Raw genomic sequence first — 27,291 nt, forward strand, 5'->3', positions numbered from 1 at the left:
GATTTAGATTTTCTCAAACCGTGGTGCGAGCAGCTATTTTTACTTTTGCTTCAGTCACCATTCTCTGTAGTAGAAAGTGTATTTAGAGTTGTAAAAACTGTTTTTCCATTTGCAGCCTAAATTTAAATATAGGATACAGCCACCAAAGTACTCTCCTGGTCAGATACAGGAGTCACGATAGTGAAATCCAGGACTTCTGACATGTAGTCCTCATTTCCATCCATTTAAGGACTCCATATCGCTAACTTCACAAGTGCTTCATGAGACCATTTCCATAGCACTTCCCCTTAGGACACCTCAATTGACTTGCAGATGTTCTATTGCTAATTCTCTTAACAGTTGTATTTGAGAGTGGTGGGTCCATTGGAAAGATATCTGACTTGCAGAAAGTGAAACCTCACCCAGTCATCTGCCTTCTCTCTTACAGGCCATGGGACATATACCCTGTACTTGGCTCCACAAGAAATGACTGATGTCACCAAAACATGAGCAAATCTTAGAACCCTAATTTCCCAATAGTTGTTGTCCTGTCCCACCAAAACCAAAAGTTGGGCATGGTGGCTCACACCTGTAATCTTAGAGTGTGGGAAGGCCAAGGCAAGAGTATCACTTGAGGCCAGGAGTTTGAGACCAGCCTGGGCAAAATAATGAGACCCCCATTTCTACAAATAAGTAAATTAATTAAAAGCCCAAGCCTGCTATCACATTTCTCCAGGGGTCAGAGCTGGAGTTTACCTCCTGCTCAAGACACTGGCTGCTGGGTCAGAGGAGATTCGGACACATCACCTGGTTTAACCCCAGGACTCTATGTGACCTTCATCCCAGCCCTGACTCAGCAGCCTGCCCTGTGACTAACTTCCTGTGACTGGGCTTTCAGATGTTGATGTTGATGATGTCCCTGCCAGGATAACCGGTCCAGATTGGCCAGCTGTGAGAATAATTCAAGTGGGTTTCAGGTAAATCACTTTCTGATCACCAATCTCTTTCTCTTTGATAAAATATCCTGTGTCTCTTGGGGCCAGGTTGGTGGCACTAACTCACTGGATGCTTATGTTTATGAGGCTTTTAGGGGTAGTTAGATGAACCTTGCCAGTTCTCCTGTCCTGGCTGCCCTCTCTTGTTTCAGATTTTGTGATGGACTGGAACACTTAGACCCAGAATCTGACACCAAAGCCTGATGAAACATGGGGCAGTGCCTGGCCACCGAACCTGCCCCCAGAGCAGGTGGCTAGAGGCAGGAAATAAAGAGGATGCTGGTAGGTGTTGCACCTTAGGCAACAGAGTGTGCTCTCTCTGCCTAAAGCCACCTGCCCTATACCCATCCCAGATGGGGGCTTGGTCAGTGGGGCCTCCTCCACCTCCCCTCCCCAGACTCTACCATCTTTACTGGGGACTTTGGCCCCAGTAAATTCTTGCAACATATGAAATGCCCAGTGGAAATGCAAAATAATCACGTCATCTTTCACACATTTATGGTATGTTGGCAATGTTTCTAATAGCCACTAAGGGACAAGAGTTTATCTTTCTATCTTACATCTCATAAATCTCTTCCTTTTTTTCATCCCTAGTGTAAATTGTGCTTAGACCAATAACACATTTAAAATTATAGAGCTTTTCATCACTACGGAGATGCTCTTGCCTATGATAGGAACGATGGCTACATCTGAAGCTGAGCAAATTTATCTTTTCTCTTCGTCTGCATCAGGGTGACCTCTGGAAGGTAAGTGAAAGATTTTCACTTAGCTGGGCACAGGCTTTGTTCAAGGCATCTGCTTGTAAGAGCCAGTATTTAAGGGGGAGGTTTGGGCCTAGGGGAGAGCCTGGCAATCTGTGTCTCTGTTCTTCTTCAGAGTTTCTTTTTCAGACTCCAAACTGAGGGCGAGTCATCTGAGCTCTCTCACGGCGGTGAGGAGCCTGGGTTGTGTAAATATAGGTCAGTTATTTAACCTGTCTCTGCCTCAGTCTTCTTTGGGGATAATAATAGCTCTCATAAGTTCATTGTGAAGATTGAAAGCATAGAATGTGTGAAGAGCTCAGCACAGTGCCTAGTGCATAATAAGCACTTTTAAGTGCCAGCCAGCATCATGATCATGACTGTTTCTATCCTCCCGTTTCCATGTGGCAGCCTTTTGCTTTGCCAGGTCCCTAGAACTGCTGGAGGAATCCATACACCAGAGATGTCGCTGCACTTCTGGCTACAGTGCCATGACTCTTCATATCAGTCTCTGCCTCTTGGGCAAGGAACAAGCACAGGCGGAATTGGTGACAAGCTGGCAGAAACTCCAATCCCAGGCATGAGTGGGGTCCTCAGACAGTTCTTGCCTCTTCTTTCCACTGCTGACTGCTGTTCCTCACATAGGTCGTCCGGCTGCTCCCACTCTCAGCCTGCCACACCTGCACAGCATAGTGGACTGTTGCCAGAGCAGTCTGCGGAGGTGCTCTTTCCACCCTCCGCCAAGCACTTGAGCTCCATTGAGTCTTTCTGCCCACACAGCTCTAGAGGGCCCAGACCCAGGGTGGAAATAACCCCCATTTTCTGGCTGTGATGAGATGTTTATTAGGTAGTTATTTCTCCCCAGATTTTACCCATATCAAATTGGAGAATTCATCTTGTCCCCTTTTCCAGAAGTACAACCTCATCTACCATTTTCTGCAGTGTTCCTTGGTTCTCCTTGAGGCCAGCTTCTGTTTCCAAATGTATAGGAGACATCTCTATTCCTATCTCCGTCAAACACTGGATTTTTTTGATTAAGGGTTACCCTAAGACATTTTCTACCCTCCTCCAGATAAGACACACTCCATGTAATTAGGCCGTCCTTAACCAAAGCACTTGCCCTTCTCTCTGGGATGGGAGGTGAATGCCATGCCAATCTCTCTCTCCTCTGACCTCACCACTTAAAGTTCCTTATTTACCAGAGATTCATTCATTGTAGAAGCTGAAGAAGCGCTTTAGATTGTGTCTGAGTTGGAGCACAGTGAATCTTCCTCCAGGGCTTCAGGGTCTGCTTTCTCTTCTCTTTCTGAGTTGTTGAGTAAGCCCCAAGAATAGCTTGCATTTTCTTCCCTTAGGAACCAAATCCAGTGTAGAAACTATAGTTCCATTTTTTGAAATGATGGCGTATCATATGTGCTGACATTTCTTCCTTATCATGGTTCTCCCACCATGTATCTATCTATCAATTGATCTATCATCCATGAATGGCTTCTTGCTGGCTACACACTTACCTCTGAGCCAGAGTATTTTCACTAAAAAGCAGATGTGCCAAGATATGACTTACCGCTGAACAATGGCCTGGTTTTCACCAGATTCTGTTTGCTCTCAACAAGTGGAATTGGACGTCTCTTTCATAGCAGCATTTAATACAGAAATGCCTAGAAATGCACAGACAGGGTTATTACTGAAGCTAATATAAGTCAAGGGAAAAATGCATGGGCAAGGCTCAGAAACAGAGGAAACACCTTTGTCTACAAAAGGTTGGATATGGCTAAGAGGTGATCAATACTTACAAGATGAAAAAGGATGCCCATCTTTGATTCCTCTCTCTTTTGCAACCCCATGTCCAGTTGGTCACTGAGTTTTGTTGTCCTTTCTTCACTTCATAATATCTCTTGCATTTCTTTCTTGCTTTTCGTTCCTACTGTGCTCCAACCCTAGTTAGACTCTTTTTATCTCATGTGTGGTCCATTGCAATAGCTTTCTCATTGTCTACCTACTGCACATATTTTCTCTTCAAAAATCGCCCTACAGTTGCCATTGGATTAATCTTTTAAAAGTACTACTTTTCGGCTGGGCATGGTGGCTTGCACCTGTAATCTCAGTGCTTTGGGAGTGCAGTCAAGGCAGAAGTTCGAGACCATCTATAAAAAGAAAAAAAAGTTATCCAGGCATGGTAGTGTAGTCCCAGTTACTCAGGAGGCTGAGGTGGGAGGATGGCTTGAGCCTGGGAGTTCCAGGCTGCAATGAGCTATGAGCACACCACTGCATTCCAGCCTGGGTGACAGAGTGAGACCATGTCTCCAAAAATTAACTAGCTAAATAAATAATGTTTTCTCAAAACTTACTTACCTGTAATCCTCCAATTTCCCTCTAAGAAGATGCCCAAAGTTCTCATCGTATAGCATTAGAACCCTCCATGAAGCAGCTCTTCAATTTACTCATCTATTTCCCGCCATTCTTGATTAAACCTCTACTCGTGTCAAATGGGTTTACCTCTCCTCATCTAAAATTTGTTCATGCCATTCCAGTTCCTGGATACGCCCTTCCTTTTCCTTTCTGCCTTTCCAAATCCTCCCCCATTCCTTGAGGTTGGGTCAAATCTCACTCCCAGCTTGAAATGATCACTCTCCACAGAATACCCTGAGACATTATTTTTATATAATTAATTTTGAGCACTCAGCAAACACTGTCCCATGACATTTTCCCTAGTGTTTTGAGTTGCTGCCTAACTTTCATATGCATACCTCTCATCATATGTCCTGTGTGGTGAACTCCTCACAGATCTCACAGATGGTTGATTCATATTCTAACTTCCTTCCAAAGCCTTTTGCATGAGCCTTGCACTAAGAAGGTATTCAATAATATTGGACTTAATTAACAGAAGAGAAAGCAACTGAAAAGGAAGACAAACTAGCGAAGCCATTTTCATCACCAGCAAAGAAATGACAGTTCCAGAGTTTCGTTCCTGTGCATGTTGAAGTTGCACGTGTTGAAATGATGGCGAGTGTGTTTTTCATAACATTACATATCTGGAAAGAATCTTGTGAGGTCATCTTGACCAGTTTCCTGGCTCTGAGTCATCAGAGACTAAAAGATCTATCATATGCTCGAAGAACCTGGAGAGAAAATTCCTCAGGTATTTTGGGCAATTGAGTCTCAGGGCTGTATCAGCTCTTCCCATAACAGTTCTCTCACTTGTCACTCTAGACCAATGTCCTGAAATTTTAGTGTACTCAAATTTGCTGAACTTCTACAGTGTATGTTTAAAATGTAGGCTTCCAGGCCCACTCCAAAGAATAACATTCACTCATTCTGGAGTGGGGACACATGAATCTGAAACATACATATTCTATTTATGTGTAATATATCCCAGGTGATTCTGATGCAGGTGGTCTGTAAAACACACTGTGAGAGAGAAAAGAAATTGTTCTGATTTATTTTTTTTTAATTTTAGTTTAAGCATATTCATTCCAGGACCATTTGCCATGAACATTAAAAAACAGCTGATTAATAGTTTTTCTTAATAATTGCATTTCCTTACATACATATTTTTAGCCTCATGTATATTAAGAGCTCTCTATGTTAAGTTGAACTCGATGTTCAACACATTCATTGAGCACCTATGTGCCAGGCATCATAGCTATCAAGATGAATGAGTTAGGTACTAAGGTAGATTGATCCTCATTCTTAGGAAGCTCATAGTTTAGTGGGAAAGTGAAAAACTGTGATAATGGTGGTGATGACCTATTACCTTTCATCCAAAGTTTGTAGACATTATATATGTTTGTGGCAGTCCAGCAGGAGCAGAGACTTGGGGTTTGTTGTCCGTGGCACTAGGCAGAAGAGTATGTAACATGCCCCCTTGCTCTGGCTCCTGACTCTGTGCCTTTAGGGCTAATGAAAAGAAAATGCCATCACCCCACCACTCCAACAGCTCTCCAAGAGCAGTGAGCATTGGTCAGTCAGTCAACTATGTCTTACTGAACATTTGGAATGACCAGCACTCTGTAAGGCATTTGCAGAGGATGTTGCTCCCTTCCCATACCCCAGACTTTGCCACAATAGTGCTCCATGCCTTCCCCATTCATTTGGGTCCCTTTGATTTCCCTGCCACCAACAGAAAAGGCTGAGTGCCCTCTGCATTCATGAAATATTTAGTGAGTACTCCAATGTGCAAGGCACTTGCTAAATGATGTGATGAATACAAAAATGAATCCAACACAGATTCTACTCTTAAGGAGCTTACAGTCTAGTGCTGAGATGCATCATGTACCAGTTACAAAGTAGAATATAAGCAAATATACCATGGGGTTGCTTCCAGCCAGGAATGGGAAAGGGGGCTGAAGGTACAGAGGGATAAGGAGTGAGGAGTGTTGTGCAAAGGGGAGGTGAGTTTGGGCTGGAGGTGTTGAAGGATATCCGGTGAAGATGACCAGCAAGGAGTTAGAGAATGTGTGACCAGGGCTTGGAAGGAGGGAAAGGCAAGGGACACTGGTGTCATATGAAGCAGGACTGGATTCTATTGTCAAAAGAGTGCAGCAGGCCAGAGAAGGAGAATTAAAACACAAGAGAGGTGTCTCAGATATGCCATCTTTTCTTATTAGACCTCAATTTAATCACTGAGAAGTTGAATTTAGTGTTTGAAAGATGAATTAAAACATTCCATTTCCTGATGTAACTCAGAAAATACATTTTCATTGTTTCCCTGCCTTTTCTTGGGTGATGGGCTTTGAATATTTCCATGTAGTTTGACCAGGGTCTCTATTAGACCTATGAAAGAAAGGCTTTTTGTACTAGACTAGTGCCTCCGTGTTTGTTTTATTCAGGAAAAAAATGGAAGGAACTACAGAGGGAAGAAAGGAAAAAGGAGAAAGAGAACAAGGTCTCTGTTTATGGGCACCTTTGTTTGCTGAAGATTGAGGAGAAACATTGTGGATTCTGATTGTGACTTGCTTGAGGTGAAATGTGTTCTTTATAAGGCCGGGCTTGCTCTCAGGGCTTTGAAGGACTCCATGTTGAAGACCTCCTATCTTTGGCACATTGGATTAAAACTATAATCTCCAAAACACTGCCCTACAGTCCTTTTGTGCTGTGCTTTCTCTCTTTGCTTGTCTTTCTATATCTTCTCCTGTTTCTGCTATAGAGTGTTGGGCTCAATGATAGTGGCTCCTTGAATAGGAGCAGAGGAAAGCGAGGTGGGGGAAGAAATAGCTATGAGAGAACGTATTAGTCGGTTCTCACACTGCTATAAAGAACTACCTGAGACTGGCTAATTTATAAAGAAAAGAGGTTTAATTGACACACAGTTCCACATGCTGTACAGGAGGCTTGGCTGGGGAGGCCTCAGGAAACTTACAATTATGGCGGAGGGGCGAAGGGGAAGCAAGAACCTCTTACATGGCAGCAGGAGAGAGAGAGAGAGAGAGAGTGAAGGGGGAGGTGCTTCAGAATTTCAAACAACCAGATCTTTTGAGACTTCTATCAGGAAACAGCCCCAGGTAGATAGTGCTAAGCCATTAGAAACCACCCCATGATCCAATCACCTCCTGCCAGGCCCCCCCTCCAACCCTGAGGATCACAACTCGAGATGAGATTTGGGTGGGGACACAGAGTCAAACCATATCAGAGAATAACACCAAAGTGTTGATTTGAAAATTTTCTTAGAGTAACTGTTTAGGCACAGGCAAATTAAAATCCTGTGCATAATCCTGTTTGGGTGCATTTGCATCTCTTTAAACTATCTCATACAGCTGGATGTCATCCTTGGAGGGAAGTCTAGTGGAGCTCATGGCCAGAGTACCTAGCAAATTTTCAAAGACCTTGTGACTTATGTTTACTTGCTTGGCAATGATGTTCCTGTGAGAAGCATGAGACCTTGTCTTCCACAGAGCAATTTAGGACCATCAGTGTTACAGAGACTCCAACCAACTTGCACAGGTAAGCCAACTAGAATTTGCTGATGTACAGCTAAAAGAAGGGTGAGCATGAGGCCGGGGACTCTGCATTCCACATCTGTGCTCAGAGACTCTCCCTGAGCCACGTGCAGAGCAGCTGTGGGTGAGAGGTGAGCTGCTCGCTGCTGAAACACCCCATTTGGTGAAGCAGGCCTTTGTTTGAGATGACACCGGGAGTGAAAGCAGGTTATCATCACTATACCCAGTGGTCTGACAGAGCAAATGGAAGAACTCGGTGAGGTGAGGAGAGGTGAGAGAGGTGAGGAAAAGATTAGCGAGGCTCAAATGGGATAATTGGAAAAGCAGGGGCAGGCAGTAAATTATGCCCCTTTTACTTGGCTTAGTTATCATATCACCCCGAATGGGTGAAATAGGTCAGCAACCCATGGGTGAAAAGCAAACTCAGGAAGGGTCACAGAGGTGAGCTAAGAACCGAGCTCCGAGGACACTTTCAGGAGCCTGTGGAAACCGTGTTGCTGGATTTTCATGCTTAGAAAGAGAAACAGGACAGAATAAGTCAATAGAGTCTTCTGGGATTGTCTGGAGGTCTTTTTCATCTTGTCAGAACCTAGACCTATCAGTAGGAAACAGGTTGAAAAGTCTCACAAATGAAGAGGCAAATAAAGCAAGGGAGTGGTAATTGTTTTGTTTTTTAAGAGACAGGGTCGCTTGCTGTTGCCTAGGCTGGAGTGCAGTGGTACAATCACTGTTCACTTCAGCCTTGAACTCCTGGGCTCAGGCAAATCTCCTGCCTCAGCCTCCTGAGTAGCTGGGGCTATAGGCATGCACCACCACGCCCAGCTAATTTTAAAAACATGTTTTTTAGAGATGGGGGTCTCACCATGTTGCTCCGGCTGGTCTTGAACTTCCAGCTCCAGTGATCATCCCTTCTCAGCCTCCTGAGTTGCTGGAATTATAGGTGCCTGCCACCATGACTGGAAGGAAGTGGTGGTTAATGTGGGTTCTGGACTGCTTACTTTTGCCTCCCACCCCAACTTGCAACCTTGTTCTGTGACCTTAGGAAGTTACTTTACCTCTTTGTGCCTTGGTTTCCTTATGTGTGACAGGGAAATAATAATTGTACCTAGACCTTCATACGTATAAAGATCTTAGTTCCTAGCACTCTTAAGTTCCTAGCAGTTAGAATACATTCAAAAAGACTAGCTGAGAAACACTTGAGAGAATGGTTTCGATGCCCTTGAGGTCATTTTGGACATTGGCAGGGACTTCTTTTGGTGGTTACAAGGATAGGGATACTACTATCATTTAGTGGGTGGAGGCCAACCAAAACAATTCATCCTGTATCCCACATGACTTTTGAGTGTTCTCATCTGGGATGTACACATCCCGATAGGTGAAAAACCTAATATTATTGGAACTTAGAATCTAACTCAGTTTTAAAAAATTTCATGAGTTCTTTTTGCATTGTTTTCACATACACTGAATTTTGAATGATCATACCAATCAAGAAGATTATGCTCTGCTTCGTTTAGAGTGCTGTCAGGAGTGGTTCCCCATTTCAGAAAGTCACCTCACTGATGACAAAAACAATGACCTGTCGGAGCTGCATTTGTAACTATTATGTTTCTAAGGCCTCTACGCATCATGAGGCCTCATGACTTGATTGTGACTTCTAGCGTAGCTATGCCTGGGCGTGAATATATATATATTGAAATGCACATGATTTTATTATAAATAATGTTGTGTCTCTTTTATATCAGTTAGGGCATTGTGTTGATTTCTTCTTGAAATGTATGAGGATGAGTTATGCATATTAATTTTATTGAGGATATTAAAAGGCCATTATAAAACAGTTGTTTTAAAAAGGAGGTTTAGCTGTGATAGGTTTTTGGAGCTAAGCTCAGCATAATCATAATGGTTGTAGTTCCCAAAAGTCGGTCCCTGAGTCAAGGAAATCAGAACCCAAAGAAAGGGTATTTCACTTGCTCTCAGTTTGCCTGTTCTCTTTTAGCCGGGTATTTAAATGCTTATGTGGTGGTCAGAGCATTTCGGTATATTGCATGTATCTTCTGTTAAAAGAAAAACTTCAGTGGCACTAAAATTAGAAGAGTTTTATTGAACAATGAACAATTTGCAAATCGGGCAGCCTCCTGAGCCACAATAGGCTCTGAGACTTCAGCGCAGCCACGTGGTGGAAGACTTATGGACAGAAAAGGGAAACTGACTTACAGAAAATGGAAGTGAGGTCCAGAAACAGCTGGATTGGTTATAGCTCAGCATTTGCCTTATTTGAACATGGTTTAAACATCTGGCCACATTTGATTGATCAAAATTTGGTGATTGGCACAAGAGTAGACTACAGTTTGTTTACTTCCATGTAGGCTATAGTTCACGATGTACAGAGCAACCTTTAGCTTTAGGTTAAACTTGATTTAACACTACCCTCAATAATCTTGAAGTCTAGTTTCTGATTAAGATGTGGCCATCTGTCCCATCTCTGTAGCACACTTAACTTCAAGAGGAGACCATCTTTTGTGCATGTGAACTCTTCTCTCTCCCGCTGTGGGAGCTAGATCACACCAGAAAAGCCTCTTTTCCAGGGATTGGTGGAAAGACTAAGGCAGCCAGGGCTGGAGGACCTACTTTGGCAGAGGTGCCCTCTGCTCTGTCCAGGGCTGTCTCCCCAGCTGAACCATGGTCTCAAGGGCTCCTGCTCTCTGCTGGGTAGGCCTGGTACAATTAATTCTGAGGCCCAATCTTTGATTTGATTGCTGTTAAGTCCTGTTGTTTAGGGAGGGAGAGCGTCTATTTACTCCCTGACATGGCCAAAGATGGAAACGGAGAAGTTGCAGAAAAACTTTGTGGGTAATAATGTCATACCTAGAAGATGATTGTGTTGCCTGATAGCCATGGGGAAGATGGCAAGTAGAGACAGCTTTCTTGGGGGTGTGAGTCAGCTTGGGCTGCTGTAACAAAAATATCATAGACTTGGTGGCTTATAAACAACAGAAATTTATTTCTTACAGACCTGGAGGCTGGAAGTAGCAGATCAGGGTGCTAGTATGGTCAGGTTCTGGTGAAGGCCCTTTTCTGTGTTGGTAACTAAAAAGAGGGCTAAGAGCTCTCAGGAGTCTTCGTTTTATAAGGGCACCCCAGAGAGTGAGGTGCTACACCTTCATTACCTAATTATCTCCCAAAGGCTCCATTTCCTAATGCCATCACATTGGGGATTAGGAAGAACCTCAACATTAAATTTGAGAGGGCACAATCAGTCTCTAACATGGGGATGGGGCCTGAGTTCAGTTTCCTTCTATTAATATATTAGAATATATTAGTGGTAAAGGTGTTAGAGTCTAGACTGACAAAATCAAGACAAAATAAAGAGCCATTAAGTCTTTCAAAATTTAATCTATAATTACGCTGTATTCAGAAATGTGCTGGTTCCCAAAGATTAAGTTTTCCTGTGTCTAGGTACTAAAAGAAAATAAAAAGGGAGGAAGGGAGAAAGAGAAAAAGTAAGGGAGAGAGGAAATCTTTGAGAAAAACTATTAATTAGTATTGAGGAGATCTATAAAGTCTCTTCCTGGGGCTCGTTGTATTTTCAAAGTTGTCCACAGCAATCTCTCTCACCCTACAAGCTCTTCTGCAAAGAGGTGGAGTCTCCCTCCCTTCCCTCTTGAATTGGGCCTATCATGAGAGCAAAACACCATCTTCTGCTGGAAAAGAGAAAAGGATAGAATATTTCTGTGGTGAGAAAGAAGGTTATTTGATACCAAACCCAGACCACACCCACTAGAGCTGGAGTTCAGCTTACAGAAATGGATCTAAGATCAAGTCAAATCGGTAAAGACACTGGTGAGTCAGCGGGAACCACAGTGAGCTAAAGGTAGCACTGGGTGGGAGGCCAAAGGAGCGGGTTGACTGATGCTGGAGATTTGATGGGAGCGGAGCCTTCATGAGAAAGGCTGGTATCCCACAAGGTTGCATCAGTGTTGTCAGCATAGTCGTCAGTGGCTTGAGACCTTTGAACGTGAGCTAGGGGTGGATGTGTGCAGGGGCCTGGAGAGACTGCGGAGATCTGAGTGAGACCAGCTTTGCGGGGTTACTGGCAGTGCACATTCTGGCTCTGTTTTCCTGGGATCTGTTTCTTGCCCTTCCTCTACCCTGTTCTAAATCAAAGGGTTCTGACCCTTGTAGGTTGCTTTTCTAAGATCGGAGGATGATAGGAGGCGCTGACAGGCTGGATGGTGGAGGTAGAGAGGGAGAAACGAGGCCTTCTCCCCTCCTTCCCAGCCGCGCACCTCTCCCACTCCATTTGTTGCCAGACAGGTCCACTAAGGGTCCAGCCTCCACCCAGTGACGTGGAGACTCCGCGAGGCACCCTGAGCTCCGGGAACCCCCTCCTCCCTTTCCTCTGCCCCGAGGTGGTGTCAGCTTCCTGTCTTTGCAGTCTGGATTCCTCACCCCACCCTGGCTGGCCTCTCGGCTCCTCCATCCCTTGTGTAATTGATCCCTGCCTCAAAGTCCTGTCTGGAATTCCCTGGTGGTTTCTGTTTCCTGGTTAGATCCCGACCGATACACTGGCCTCCGGAGCTGGTCAGCTCTGATTCCTAGAAGAGAGCTGCTAAGGACCGGCCTGGGGACGCCTTGCTGAAAGAGGTTTGTAGGGAAACCAACCGACTTCAGGACAGTCCAGTATGTGGCTTACTTGACCCCATTCTCTCCAGAACGACATAAGCTGTTATCTTAAGGGAGGGACTTTAATGGAGGAATTGATTTGGGATGGGGTGAAGGATTCACTAAAAGAGAGGCATCAGTGGCACCAGAGAGCAGAGAAAGCTCATGTCCTCTCAGTTTAGAAATAACCAAGTGTTCTGGTGGGGGCTTATGCATCACTGAATTACTGTCGCATTCTTGGGCCCCATATAACGTTTGTATCTTGTGTCTGGTTCAAATAGAACAGAGAATAAGGGAGTGAGTGCCTCTAATTTAATATTCTTATGTTTCCATCACGTCAAATTCCCACTAGGACAAATGTATACAAATGAATCATTATAATTTTTTCCCTTTTACCCTAGCTGAGCCACTTGGGCCTCTGCTAAGAAATGATGATAAAAGTGATGAAAACAAAGCATAACATTATAATGTCATTTAAAAAATGAAAGATTTCCAGGAGATCCTTTGTTGTGCTGGAAGAGCACGAGCTGCATGTTTAAATGACTTTTTGTTTTCCCTTTTGGATAATCACAGAGAGTAATGTAACCAAAATAATCTTGGACTGCTGCTGAGGTCATCATTTAGTTCCTGCTGACATGTTGTGCTGGTCAGAAAGCAGGGGATCTCAAAGGGAGTACAGCCCTGGAGACATGAGAGAAGGCGTCATTCAGACTGCTGGTGCTTCCCTCAGAGACAACAGGGGCATGGGGTTTGAATCTGGCTGTTCATTCTCCCATCCCAACACTGGAGACACAGATGAGGAGCACACCTGTATCCCAGGCATTGTAGATTACAGCGGGAGAGAGAAATGCCAACTGGGACTGTGTCCTTGGGGGATGCGATTTTTCATACTGTATAATGAACGTGCAATAGGGAAGAGCATTTCATTGTGGGTTTTACTGCACTAGGCGATTCTGACGGGTATATGGATACTCATTCCAACTTACAGTCATAAGATGAAGACGGTCATGGGGAAGCTGCCTGGCTTCCAATGAAATATTGGGGAAGAGGATTCAATATCAAAAGTTCAGAACGGAGAATAGCAGAGTACAATTATAAAGCCCTAGGTCATTTGCTTACTTGTTTTATTCCCTTCACTAGACACAGGGCTGCAACCACACATTATGGGATAGTTTAGAAATGTGGCCCACAAATTCTTTGACACTCCTCCTATGAAAATGAGGGATTCATATCTCCTGCTCTTGAATCTGGGGAGAGAGTGGGGGAAGCTTGTGAGTGTTTTGACGACCAATAGTGTACAGTGAAAGTGACAAAATGGGATTTCTGGGGCTGGATCATAAAAGGCCATGTAGCTTTCATCTTACAAACTGAAACACTCTTTCGTAGAGCCCTAAGCTGCCGTGTAAGGCATCTGACTACGCTGAAGCCACTACATTGGAAAGGTCACATGGAGGAGCTCCAGCTGACAGTCTCGGAGGAGCTCAGCTTCAAGCCATCCCTGCAAGGTATCAGCCATATAAATGAATCAGCCCAGCTGCCAGTCAAGTATCTTTGCATGGCTTCCATCAGTGCCTCATGAAACGGAAGATTGACTAGCCAAGACTTGCCCAAATTCCTGACCCACAAAATCATGAGATATAATAAAATGGTTGTTATTTTAAGCCACTAAGCATTGGGGTGATTTGTTATGCAGCAATGGCTAACGAGAACATATTCCTAACTAGACAAGTTCCTAGTCTATTCACAAAGGTACCTTTTTTCTTTTTTTAGAGACAGGGTCTTGCTCTGTCACCCAGGCTGGAGTGCAGTGGCGCCATCATAACTCACTGTAACCTTAATCTCCTGGGCTCAAGCGAGTCTCCCACCTCAGCCTCCCAAGTAGCTAGGACTACAGGTGCATAACCACAACACCTGGCTAATTTTTAAAATTTTCGTAGAGACAGATCTTGCTAGCTTGCCCAGGCTGGTCTCCAACTCCTGGCCTCAACTGATCCTCCTGTCTTGGTCTCCCAAAGTTCTGGGATTACAGGCATGAACCACCATGCCCAGACTAGTCACAAACGTATCTTAATAGGTAGAGTTCACTATTTAGTAAGCTTTAGTGTCAAATAGCCTTCAGCATCTTTTATTGAGTGCCTGCTGCAAGCCCCTTTGATATGGGGGATACAAGGTATAAGGTTTAGTTTCTGACCTAAAGGAACTGATAAAATAATAATTATGGGATACCATTCACTGAAGTATTACTATGATTAGGCTAATGATTCTCAGAGTATGGTACCTAAACAATACATCAGCATCACCTTGGAATTTGTTAGGGTTATTTATTTTTAATTTATGATTATTATTTTTTTAGAGACAGGGTCTTGCTTTATCACCCAGGCTAGAATGCAGTGACACAATCATAGCTCACTGCAGCCTCAACCTTCCAGGCTCAAGGGATCCTCCCACCTTACCCTCCCTAGTAGCTGGGACTGCAGGCACGTGCCACCATGCCTGGCTAATTTTTAAATTTTTGTTTTCTAGAGATGGTCTCACTATGTTGTCCAGGCTGGTACTGGGATTGGATAGTTTGAATAATTTTAGCAGGCTCTGAGGCATAGGGTCTACCCCTCATTGCCTGCTACCTGGCCCTGGCAATGACTAGGATACAGGACTAGTGACCCAAATGTGAGAGCCCAGAGAAAGGAGGTAATGGGTGGGTATGGGCTTTAGATTGGTTGGTTTGCATAGAAAGGCACATTCACAGATCAGTTGGTTACTATCTCTAGGAGTTGGCTAGTTTTGGGAGCAGCAATCTCTCCAGGGTCAGCAAGGTCCCACACATCAAAGAATTAGAATAAAAAGACCTGCTTGATACAGATAGATACAATTACCCTATATTTCAGATGGCAAAGTTGAAATCCTGAGAAGTAAGTCATATCTTCACCAAGGGGAGGACCTAGATTTAAACCTGAGTCTGCTGGACCCCCCAAACCATGCTCTTACCAATGTGCTATTCTGTTCTTCATCGAGCTAATTAAGCATACATGTGGGCATCTATAATTGTATAAAAAGATAATTTACAGAGCAAATGAGGATGCTGAGTAATTTCTATAGAAAATAATTGCATGAAGCAATGAGAAGGAGGAGGGATTGCTTGTAGTGGTCACAGAAGACTTGTGGAAAAGGGTCATTCAGACTGCTGCTGCCCCCACTCAGAGACGATGGATGATGGGCATTGTGTTTGCTGGGTGGGTCTTGAAAGTTGGATAGAATGGGTCTGGGCAAAACTGGGGAGAAAGAACATTCTGAAAAGATGGGAAATGATGTGATCACAAGGCTCAAAGGCAGTAGTGTGCAAAGTCTGATGAAAACACCAAGTGTTAATAGGCTGCCTTGGTTATTTGAAAGTAGATTAGGAGGAGACAGAAGTTGGATGCAGCTGGATGCCACCTATTTTAATGAGCTAAATGCATCAGAAGCAGTGCATGGATGTGCAAAAGGTTTGGCACTGTGGTCTAAATATCAAGAAAGTATCTCCATCTAAAAGTAGTGCCATAATCTAGGTGCCTGAGCTGGGTAAAATGTAGAGTAAGAATCTAGCTGGGAATTTCCAGCTTGGCATCTTGTGAGATAATATGTTAGGCTGGGAATCTGTGACCAACAGGGAGCACACAGACAATGGAAGATGTTTCCATGTGGACTAAAAAGAGCATCAAAGCTTTTGGGAAGTGAAACTGACAGCCAGGCTTTCGTTTAGATGCTTCTGAGCACTCACATTGTCCCAGGCACTGTGCTAGGTGATAGGGAGTTATACATCATTAGTCATGCTAATCAAACAGGGTCTCTGCCACTGAGGTACTAAAAAGTAGTGAGCTCACAGTCTTTGCACACTAGAGAGAGCAGAGGAGGCGTCTGTGCAGCCCAGCCTTGGAAAGGTGGAATGAACGGGCGCCTGTCTGTGTGGTGAAATTCCAGGAGGCACCCACAGAGATTATGGCAGCGCAAGGTCGACCCTCCTATGGCTTAGCTTGCAAGCCTCCCACTTCTGTGGCGGGAGTCACACTCTCTATCATCACTTTTTTTTTTTTTTTTTGAGACAGGGTCTTGCTCTGTCACCCAGGCTGAAGTACAGTGGTGTGATCATGGCTCACTGCAGGCTTGACCTCCTGGGCTTCTCCCACCTCAGCCCCCATGAGTAACTGGGACTACAGGTGCTCACCACCATGCCCACCTACCTTTAATTTTTTTTTTTTTTTATAGACCAGGTCTTACTATGTTGCCTAGGGTGGTCCCAAACTCTTACGCTCAAGGGATTCTCCCAATCTGGCCTTTCAAATTGTTGGGATTACAGGCGTTAGCCACTGCGCCCAGCCTGTGTCATCACTTTTATACTTTAGTAGGGTCCAGATCACCAAGGGAGCTTAATAATGCACATTACTGGGCCCTACCCCTCACCAAAGATGCAGGTTCCCTGAATGATAAAAGAACACCACCTTACATCCTCGATAACACCTTTAATACCTTTGTTATCAGTTAATAACAGAGCAGCCAGCATTGATAAGAATCTAACTAGAATGTAAGCTTCAGAAGGGCAGAGGTATTTGTCTATTTTGTTCACTGGTATATCCACAGCGCCTGGCCATATTAGGCACTTAGTAGCTCTTTGTTGAATGAAGCATATTGAAACATAGATGTGGAGGGTGCAGGGGAGGGGAAGAAATTAAGTCAAAAAGATGTGTCAACAAGAAGAAAGGGATACTTTTAATACGGGAAGTGGAAAGATATTAAGTGCAAATTTGGCTTTTCCAAAGGTCTGCTATATTTGGGTGGGGAAGGAAGGCGGGGAGGGGAAGGCTCCGGTCTTCACTCTGCTGAACTAAAATTATAAGTTGAATGATGCCTCCTAAACCATTGGTCTAAGAAATGTTCTGATTATGGAAAAATATCCATTCAGTGCCTTTCAAATTCTCCGAAGGCCCCTCTTTTCTTACTGTTTCTAACCTTCCGCCATGTTCAGAGAAAACAAACACCCAGCTCTTCTGAGCTACAGAAATTCTCTGACGGGCCCACGTGCTCATTTTTATCGACGTTCCCCAGGTCACTGTTAATTCAGGCCCCAGCAACAGCACAGGAATGCCCTGGCATCCCCACAGCTCCTTCCTGAGGAGATGAGCAGGTCGGCTGGAAAACACAATAGAATACAAAGGGAAAAGATCTTGGAAAAGATGAAGGAGAAAAATCAGGACCCCTCACCAAGTTAAACAAACATCTGGACTGAAGGGCTGTGTAATCAGGTTTTATAAAATTATTTTCAATAGGAAATGATGTTTTACTCTATATCTATGAGACATTTAGTTTTCAACATTCTTTTCCCTCTAAATTCATATCCTTAGTTCTAATTCATTTCTCTGTTTATACATCTTCTTTGGAAAGATATTTTTTTCTTTTACACATCTTTTTTTTTCTTTCTGATCATTTCTGTATTTGGCCTAATTTTCTCCTTTTGCTTTGGACCAGCAGTGTGTGGGCCTCAACAGGTAGGCAGGAAAGCAGCTGGTCTCTGAAAGAATCAAGCAGATCACAAAATGTCTGTGAAATGAACATGTCTGCCTCAAGCTTCCCACTCTGACGGGGCTCAGTGCCGAGCTCTGATTTGCTCTGGTGAAAAAAAAAAAATCCCCTAATTTCACTGTCAAGGTTTTGAGAGGCATTCTCATGGTTTTAAAGAGATTATTGCATAATTTGTTCATGTTTAAAGAATTATATTGTTAAATAAATTTAGCTCTCCAGATTCTAAATGACAAAAACAAGAGAAGTTACATCATTTGAATTATGAAGTGATAATGTCTTCCAATTCTGCCCCAATCAAAAGTGTAACAGTTTAAAGCTTATAATAATCATGTTCAAACATATTCAGATTATAATTACTTTTCTTCTGATAATGATAGCCCGTCTGATTGGATGATTACCTATTTGACTTTGATAAGTCTCAGAGGTCAAAAAAGGGATAATTGCAGACATCTGTTTTCTATGGAAAATATAATCTCAGAAAATAGTGTTTAAAGTGACATCTGCAAATATGTGTTTTAGAAAGAAACTCGTTGTACATTTAAAATCATAGGGAAAAGAAGCAATTCCTAAGCTACTATGTATCACCCTGTCTTTGTAAATAGATGAGCGAGTTTAACTTACTAGTATTCATGTATGCATGAGTAATTACAAGCAGGCATGATTATATTTTGTACAGGTAGAATTAGAAATAGACATAGATTATGAGAAAGGAATTTGAAAGTGTCTACAATATGGAATGATATGGAAGACTTTCGCTTTACTTTTGTTTGTTTTAGTTCAATCTAGGCATATATAGCTGTAACCATTTTCTAGGTGGTTTTTTATTTGGAAATTGGAGGTGGAAGGTCTTATTTCTTTGATTTCTCCTTGGAGATGACCTTCTCCAGTTATGAGGGGGCTCCTGATGAAGGCAAAAGGTTCACTCATGGCTGCCATGCTTCTCTATGTAGAAGAGGTGCCAGTTTCTCTCTCGGCAGGTGCATCAGCTTCCCAACCTCTTAGGGAGATGCCAAGAACCTCTCCCTCCCTTCAGCCAGCAGCTGTGTTCTGCCGCAAAAAGGGAGAACTGTATTTAATATTCCCTTCCATGCATGATAAAACTTCCTTGGCTTTAACTAATTAACTCAGAATCTTCTCTAATTCATGCAAGACCTGGGTTATCACTTTTTCTAGATTCAGCTTCCTAAAATACAACTTTCACCCTAGCACTTCCCTTCTCAAAAGCCTTCAACCACTCCTCGGTGTCTAAGGAAGGAATTCCAAGCTTCTCGGCAATTCAGGATCTTTCATAATTTGACCTTAGCCTATTTTTTCTTCTCTTTTTCTTCTACATAAAGCTTTCCTTTTTTGTTAAATCCATCTAATGCTAAAGGGTGTTAATCTTTCTTGCTTCTAATCTAGATCTTTGGTGATGCTGGTACATTCGCATGGAATTTTATCTTCCCCATCTCTGCTAATTAATGTTTTGTTGGTGGTGGTTGGTTGGTTTTTGCACCTCAGATTCACAGAACTGGATAAAACGTAATCGTAGGTTCATAACAAACTAGTATGATTGGTCCATGCAAGGCTTCTTTTATATTTATCCATACATATTACATTTTTACTCCAGTCTATCTTAAATCCTCTCATTTCAATAAGGTCTTTCCCTATATACACAGATATAATGACCCTGTTAAGAGGGCTCTTTCTGTCTCTGAACTATTACAATGTTTATTATGCAGAATGTAGACCACCACCTGCATGAAACATATCACATGCTGCCTGGTACTATCATTGTCTTTGCACATAGCTGCAGCCAGCTAGTCACATCCTGCTATGCTGTGTGTGCCTGAGACTTTGCCATAGATGTATGATAGCCTTTACCAAGTTGTATTGTATTACATATTATCTGTAACATCCGTCTTCCCCCTAAATCAGTAAGCTCCTTGTGGCCAGATTTGGTCTTTCATTTATGTTTGCATCCTAAGTGCCAACCACAGTGCCTGACAAGTAACGTTTAGTAAGCAGTTGTTGCATATTTTGAAAAATTAGATTATTAACTTCTAGGAAGCAATCAGGGAGTCACAGAATTTCAGACAAGGGATGGAGCTCATGAGTTTTATACCCTTTTTATCTTTCACAGTGCCTAGCAGAGTACTGAGCAGACATAAGTCCTTAATAAATACGTATTGAGGGATTGATGCTTAAATTCCTTCAGAAAATTAATGAACTGCATATTAGGGAGGGTACCCAACTTATCTCAGTTTCCCCTGAACTCGCTCAGGTTTGTTTTTTTTTTTTTTTTTTTTTGAGAGGGAGTCTTGCTCTGTCTCCCAGGTTAGAGTGCAGTGCTATGATCTCTTCTCACTGCAACCTATGCCTCCCAGGTTCAGACGATTCTTCTGCCTCAGCCTCCCGAGTGCTTGGGACTACAGGTGTGTGCCACTATGCCCGGCTAATTTTTGTATTTTTGTTGTTGTTGTTGTTGTTGAGACGGAGTCTCACGATGTTGCCCAGGCTGTAGTGCAGTGGCACTATTCGGCTCACTGCAAGCTCCGCCTCCTGGGTTCACGCCATTCTCCTGCCTCAGCCTCCTGAGTAGCTGGGACTACAGGTGCCCGCCACCACGCCCGTCTAAATTTTTGTATTTTTAGTAGAGATGGGGTTTCACCGTGTTAGCCAGGATGGTCTTAATCTCCTGTCCTCGTGATCCGCCCACCTCAGCCTCACAAAGTGCTGGGATTACAGGCGTGAGCTACCGCACCCGGCCTAATTTTTGTATTTTTTAGTAGAGACAGGGTTTCACCATGTTGGCCAGGCTGGTCTGAAACTCCTGACCTCAAGTGATCCGCTTGCCTTGGCCTCCCAAAGTGCTGGGATTACAGGTGTGAGCCACTGTGCCTGGCCAAACTCTCACAGGTTTTTGTTTGTTTGTTTGTTTTGTTTGTTTGAGACAGAGTCTCACTCTGTCGCTTAGGCTGGAGTGCTGTGGCACAAACTCGGCTCACTGCCTCGGGGGTTCAAGCAATTCTCTCTGCGTCAGCCTCCTAACTAGCTGGGATTACAGGTGTGCGCCACCACACCCAGCTAATTTTTTGCATTTTTAGTAGAGACTGGGTTTCACCATCTTGGGGAGGCTGGTCTTGAACTCCTGACCTCAGGTGATCCACCTGTCTCAGCCTCCCAAAGTGCTGGGATTACAGGCGTGAGCCACCTCGGCCAGCCACTCTCCCAGTTTTAAAGCAAAAAAAAAACCATGTCTGGGAGTCCCCTTAGTCCCAGGCAAACTGGGACAGTTGGTCAGCTTAGTTAGAAGTCTCACACACATATCAGGAGGGGGTATAGCTCTGAGGCAGAGTATTGGACTGCAGATCAAGAAGTCTCATGCACATACCAACAATGTAAATGCTAATAATATTACTCTCTCTCCTCATGGAGGTCTTTTAAGGATCAATTTGCAAACTTAAACTGAATTTCTGTGTATTTGATAGGGACCAAAAGAAAGTTCTTGTGAATTAGTCTGAATTTTAGGCTCTTCAGAATTTAATTTAAAAAAATTATATTGTTATTCCCCCTTGTAAAAATTAGTAAGAGTTTGAAATGCAACTAGATTTCACTTCTCAGAGTGTGATTTCTCTTTTGTGAGCTTAAAGAGACAGAGCTTAACAAAGACTCAAGCCTATGACCTACAGGCCAAGAGGGAATAGGCCAAGAGGGAATATAACTTTCAGGTAGAGGCCACCCACAACTAGGCTGCAGACCCCCCTCCCCACTGTATGAGTTGGGGGGGGCAGGGGGTAGGGGAGCTGTTGTGAATCACCAAGTCTCTTTTGTGTAAAACCAGCCTCCTTGGGTCCTCTCAGAAATCTTTTATTAAAACTCTAAGAATTTTCCTATTCTTCGTGCTATTCCATTGTTATTCCATTCCACATCCATTGTTATGGAGGGAATATTTACTTGCTATTGAAGGAAGTCTTGTGGGATGTATAGTCAATAATTTCATCAAGGAGTAACTTATCTTTCTACTTCTGGTGGAAAAGGGAGGGAAAAAGTTTCTCTTAAGTAGCTTATAAGCTTTTGAAGAATATGTACAAAGAGATATTTTTAGACAAAGAGAGTATTATTTTCCAATTTTTAGTAAAAAAGCAGCATAAAAACAAACAAAGTCTGAAACAAAAAAAACAATAGGGGCATGCCCAGAGAATGTGATGGCCACTGATTTCTGCATTAGTCACTTAACAAATACACACACAGAGGATGCATGTTTGTTTCTAGGGAAAGGCCCAAATGGGAATTATCCTGGATGTAACTTATAGGATTAGAGATTTGTTGGCTCTTTCACTACCAAGGAGAGGAAGAAGAAGAAGGTAAAACAAATGCAAAAATAAGAAAACAAAGGTGGCAAAACTTCTAGCAAAAGCAAATCTTTGCCATAGTGGATTCTGGAAGCTTGAAACATTTGCAGTTCACACAGTTTATATAATTCTATGTATATTTGCTTCTTCTGACTTATCTAGGTGAACTAAGTATAGTTGGCTAAAGGTGTTGCCTTAGTCTGCTCCTGTTGCTATAACAAAATACTATAGACTGGATAATTTATAAACAGCGGAAATTTATTTCTCACAGTTCTAGAGGCTGGGAAGTCCAAGATCAAGGACTAGGACTCAAGATTTGGTGTCTGGTGTAGGCTTACACTCCTCTTCCAAGATGATGCCTTCTTGCTGTGTCCTCTCACAGTGGAAAAGTGGAAGAGGGAGGCAGCTCTCTGAAGCCTTTTTTTTTTTTTGAGATGGAGTCTTGCTCTGTTGCCCAGGCTGAAGTGCAGTGGCGCAATCTTGGCTCACTGCGAGCTCGGCCTCCTGGGTTCACGCCATTCTCCTGCCTCAGCCTCCTGAGTAACTGGGACTATGGGTGTCTGCCACCACGCCTGGCTAATTTTTTGTATTTTTAGTAGAGATGGGGTTTCACTGTGTTAGCCAGGATGGTCTCGATCTCCTGACCTTGTTGTCCACCCGCCTCAGCCTCCCAAAGTGCTGGGATTACAGGTGAAGCCTTTTTTATAAGGGCATTCATCCTTCACAAGGGTGGAGCCTTCATGACTTAGTCACCTCCCAGAGGCCCTACCTTCTAATACTATCACTGTGTTGATTAGGTTTCAATGTATACATTTTGGAGGGACACATATATTCAAATCATAGCAGGTGAGATTCCCTTTTATGCCAGGACATTGGCCTCCAGCTGACAACTATCTCCACTCCCTGCCATACCTCCGGCCCAAATGATCATAATGTTTTGCCTAGGCAGTTGCAATCACTCCCCCGTATTCACTTTGCCCCCCCAACCCCATCTGTTCTTCTTGATACAAACAGAACCAATCATGTCGTCCTCCCCTTTCCTCTCATTCTCCTTCCCCAGGGATGAAGTATTCTGAGGTGAAAGACCAAGATTCTTAATATGCTCCTCAAGATCCTGTGTAGTTTGGCCCTACTTACCTTTCCACCTCATCTTGCACCAATCTCTCCCTGTTCCTCTGCACTTCACCCAGCCTCATCTAGTTCCTCACACTTTTCATGCAGCTTCTCACCACAGGGCCTTTGCACAAGCTGTTGTTGCCACCTGGAGAATATTCTCTCTCATTCTCCACTGTGTTTAGTTCTTCTATTCCTTTAGGGTGCAGTTCAAGCACATGAGCTCAGGAAAGCCTTTGCAGAGACCCATCCAGGTCAGATTTCTTTATGACATATTCTCCTAAGTCCATGTTTGTTTCATCAAGAGAACTCATATGGATATGTAATAGTATACTCATTTTTTGTGATTAAGCAACCTCTGTCACCAACTACAAGGGCCATGAAAGCAGGGACTTTGTTTCTGCTTTGTATTTCATCCTCAGTGCTCACTGAAGTGATTGGCACATGGCAGCCACTAGTCAACTGCTTGGAATTTTTTTAAAGAATTTGTTTCAAGGACTATCCTTGGATACTGGACACGCTAAATAATAAGTACTAGATTGGAACATAAGAGGAAAATTTGAGCTTCGATTCGATTCTTGTGACTTTCTGGAAGATGTAACGTATTTGCCTTGGTTTCTATGTCTATAACCTAAGAATAAAAAGGCCTGCTGCCACCAGCCTCATCCCATGAACTGTGCTGTTCTCCCGTGATTCAGTGCATTTCACAGTGTATTAGTTTAAACCTTAGGTGCTGTAACAAAGAGACCTAAAAATGCAGTGCTTAAACAAGACAGAACTTATATTTTTTTCTCTCTCTCATTTTTCTCTCTCCCAGGCCAGTATTCCAGGGTAGGTGTATTGGCTCAGTGGTGTCAGCAACCCAGACTTCTTGTATCTTCTTGCTCTGCCATCCTCAATATGTGGCTTCTCTCAAGGGCCCAAGATGGATGCTCTAGCTTTCAACATAGCAAATACATTTTAGTTATTGTGAAGGGAGAAAATGGAAGGGAAAGGTTTTTTATTTCCCTTTAAGGACGTGAACTGGAAGTTGCACATACTACTTCCAATTTCACTCCTTTGGCAAGAGCTGAATCATATGGCTACAGTGAGTTGCAAAGTCCATTGTGTCGTGATTTTTTTGTCAGTTTGTTTTGAGACAGGGTCTAGCTTTGTTGCTCAGGCTGGAGTGCAGTGGCGTGACCTCAGCTCACTGCAGCCTCAAACTCCTGGGTTCAAGTGATCCCCCCACCTCAGCCTCCCGAGTAGCTGGATTACAGGCATGCGCTAGCATGCCCTGCTAATTTTTGTATTTGTATTTTTGTTTTTTTGTAGAGACAGGGTTTTGCTATGTTGTCCCAGCTGATCTTGAACTCCTGGGCTCAAGGGATCCACCCACCTTGGCCTCCCAAAGTGCTGGGGTTATTGATGGGAGCCACTGCGCCTGGCCATGTTGTGATTTTTTACTCACCACTGTGTTTTCCCATTAGACTGGGTTTCTTGAGGTCAACAGTATTGTCTTGTTTCTCTTTATGCTTCTCTCTCCCTTTAGTGCCTACCTGAGAGCCTGCTACAGAGCAGTCCCTCAGTCATTGCTTATTTAATGAAATAAATCAAACTTGGTATGCGTCTAGAATAACTGAATGTTGGTAAGGCAGATGTTTGTCAAATGCCTGTGTTTTCATGGACTCCTAAAAAGAGCTAATTAAGTCTTTTTGACTTGCTCTGTATATATCACCTTATAAAATTCATCATGAAAACACATCGGGTAGATTTTAACTGAGATCCACATATGGGCTTTAGGAAATGTGTTTTTCTGAGGAGACGCTTCATGAGATTTTTCAAAGTAATTTGCGACCTGAAAATGTTTAAGAACCCCTCACATGGATGTGGAGATTTGAGGGCTCCCAATACATTTGCGGAAATTCAGAATGGAGAAATAAGGCAAAAGACGGAGGCAGATGGAGGTCAAATTTCATCTATATTGCTACAAAAGTTACTACTCAAGAAATATGGCTTATATGTTTTGACAAGTGGTCTTCTGATATTGAATACAAGATTTATGCACATTTACTCACTCCTCAGCACGTGGTCTGGGCATCCCATCTCATCCTCTCTCTATAGGAGAGAGAGTCTGTCCTGGAGCAGGCAAGCAGAGCGTGTTCCTCTGGGCAACTTGTTCCCCACAGAAGAAAAAGAGAGGAGGAAGAGGCGAGGTGGCACTCACCTAGGTTTTTTCCCCCAAGTCCCCATCATATTAGGTCACTTTTTCTTCCCTTAAATGAGGAACAGGTGTGGGGAGAGAGGCCAGGAATTTTACGCTAATGAGACTCCTTCTACCTGGAGGGACACATCAGGTGTGCAGAAGAAGGGTTCTCCCTTAACAGTGAAGATTGAAAGACTGATTTCTGGTAATGAGTCCCTCATATGTTCACAGAAAAATGAATAGGTTAGATGAAATAAGCTCCAAAGCCATCCCAAGGCTCCACATATGGGAAACATTTCCAGTCCTAATACTCATGGCTTACATTTTTGGTTGTTTGGGTTATGTAGGGGGCATACTTAGGCAGCGCTGTTATTTCTTGCTTTGTGGCCTCAGTCTTTTTCATCCTGGATCCCAGAGAACCTGACCTGGCCTGCAAGTTCCTCATCCAGCTGGAAGCAGGTGCTGGGGAGCAGGTGGCCTCCCCCGTATCTCCAACTCAGGACCACCTGGGGCAGGGGGAGTGTGGCGTTTCACTTGAGCCTTCTCCTTGCCACCTCACTAGCTTACTTAGGAAAAGCAAGAGAAATGGGAAATGGGAGTTGGAAATGCAGCCAATCAGCAACGGAAGAGCCTCTGGGGAACTCAGGGGGCGAGGGGGGACCCTAGTATCTCAGCCTCTGACCTTAGTTATCCCTGTTTGTGGGGGAAAATGCATTTTCCTGTTTTGAGGGCTCTCTACAATGCATCTCAGGCAAAAAGTGAGGAAATTGGGTATCCTATATACATATAAATAACACCCTTAATCATCATCGACCAAATAGGCTACACTGCCCCCTTATGATGTTTCAGGAAAGCAATCCGGGCATTCCCATGGCCTTTGGAGGGATTTTCCATGATTCTGTAAATCCTTGAGTAATATTGAAGCTCTGTAATAACACCAAGCTACTTTTGCATTTATTCTAGTCTTAGGTTTGAACATTATAATATTAGTTGTTTAAATTTTCATAGAGTCCATGGTTCAGAAGAGTTCTGGGGAAATCATTTAAATTCATCCTCCTGCAGGTCCCTTGATAGGGCTGCAACTTGGCTAACAAAGACAAATGGCCTTCTATCTGATTCTGAAAGGTCTCCAGGGGAAGATTCCATAATGAACCACAGTAATCATGAATTGCTAACATGAATGTGCCCCACTTTAAGAAAACCTGACATGTGAAAGCCTATGTGGCAGGATAATTTATTGAGATACTAATCTACGCTTTGTTCTCTGTAATTTGCCTCCCCTGTCCCACCCCCCGTCCCCATGAAGGTAGCCAGTTCTGTTTCCCTTCCTGTGGAGGTGATAGAGTTTACTTGTGCTATATTCCTATTGTTTTATTAGACAGATGCACAGAGAAAGAGAATACGCTTGCTCATGTGCTAATGCTAAAGTCAAACTCCTCAAGTAACACTATAGGGGGGCGATGCTCCTTAGAGGATGCAGCTCCACCTGACTCTTCATCGTCAGCTGTGTGTTCTTAGAAAATGGCTTTTATCTCTTTAACCTCTGTTTGATCATCTGTAAAATGAAAGGTTGATTTAATGACATTCAGGTACCTCCCTGCTCTTGAATCTGTGGGATTATCAATCTCTTAAGCTCCGACTCCCAGGACAGCTGTGGAACATTTGCTTAAAGGTTTTGGAGTTGGGTGGCCAACTTCAGCAAAGGAAACAGTATATGCAATATTTGTGACATGCTTATACAAAAATAAAATTTGCTCTTTGAAATCACATTTAACTGGGTATCTTATATTTTATCTA

The 27,291-nt window shown here is 43.3% G+C and overlaps 1 protein-coding gene across 1 annotated transcript in view, besides 3 other annotated features; it reads left to right on the forward strand.

Moving 5' to 3' along the window:
* The first annotated feature begins 1,617 nt into the window (after window positions 1-1,617).
* The window catches only part of SCOC (short coiled-coil protein), a 128,421-nt gene continuing 102,747 nt past the window's right edge, over window positions 1,618-27,291 (forward strand). The window contains exon 1 of the mRNA NM_032547.3: window positions 1,618-1,720. The gene's annotated coding sequence lies outside the window, so the exon portion shown is untranslated. The remainder of the gene's footprint in view (window positions 1,721-27,291) is intronic.
* Window positions 11,069-12,268: an enhancer, noted in NCBI's record as "BRD4-independent group 4 enhancer chr4:141187913-141189112 (GRCh37/hg19 assembly coordinates)". NCBI's record gives its function as "activates an origin of replication core promoter dependent on BRD2, P300/CBP, MED14 and CDK7 cofactors, and independent of BRD4, by STARR-seq in HCT116 cells {active_cell/tissue: HCT116}" and the evidence as "EXISTENCE:reporter gene assay evidence [ECO:0000049][PMID:35650434]".
* Window positions 11,069-12,568: a biological region, named in NCBI's record as "BRD4-independent group 4 enhancer GRCh37_chr4:141187913-141189112".
* Window positions 12,069-12,568: an enhancer, noted in NCBI's record as "H3K4me1 hESC enhancer chr4:141188913-141189412 (GRCh37/hg19 assembly coordinates)". NCBI's record gives its function as "activates a minimal SCP1, AML or CMV promoter by ChIP-STARR-seq in primed H9 embryonic stem cells {active_cell/tissue: H9 hESC(primed)}" and the evidence as "EXISTENCE:reporter gene assay evidence [ECO:0000049][PMID:30033119]".

The sequence above is a fragment of the Homo sapiens genome, chromosome 4, assembly GCF_000001405.40.
Source record: "Homo sapiens chromosome 4, GRCh38.p14 Primary Assembly".
NCBI lineage: Eukaryota > Metazoa > Chordata > Mammalia > Primates > Hominidae > Homo > Homo sapiens.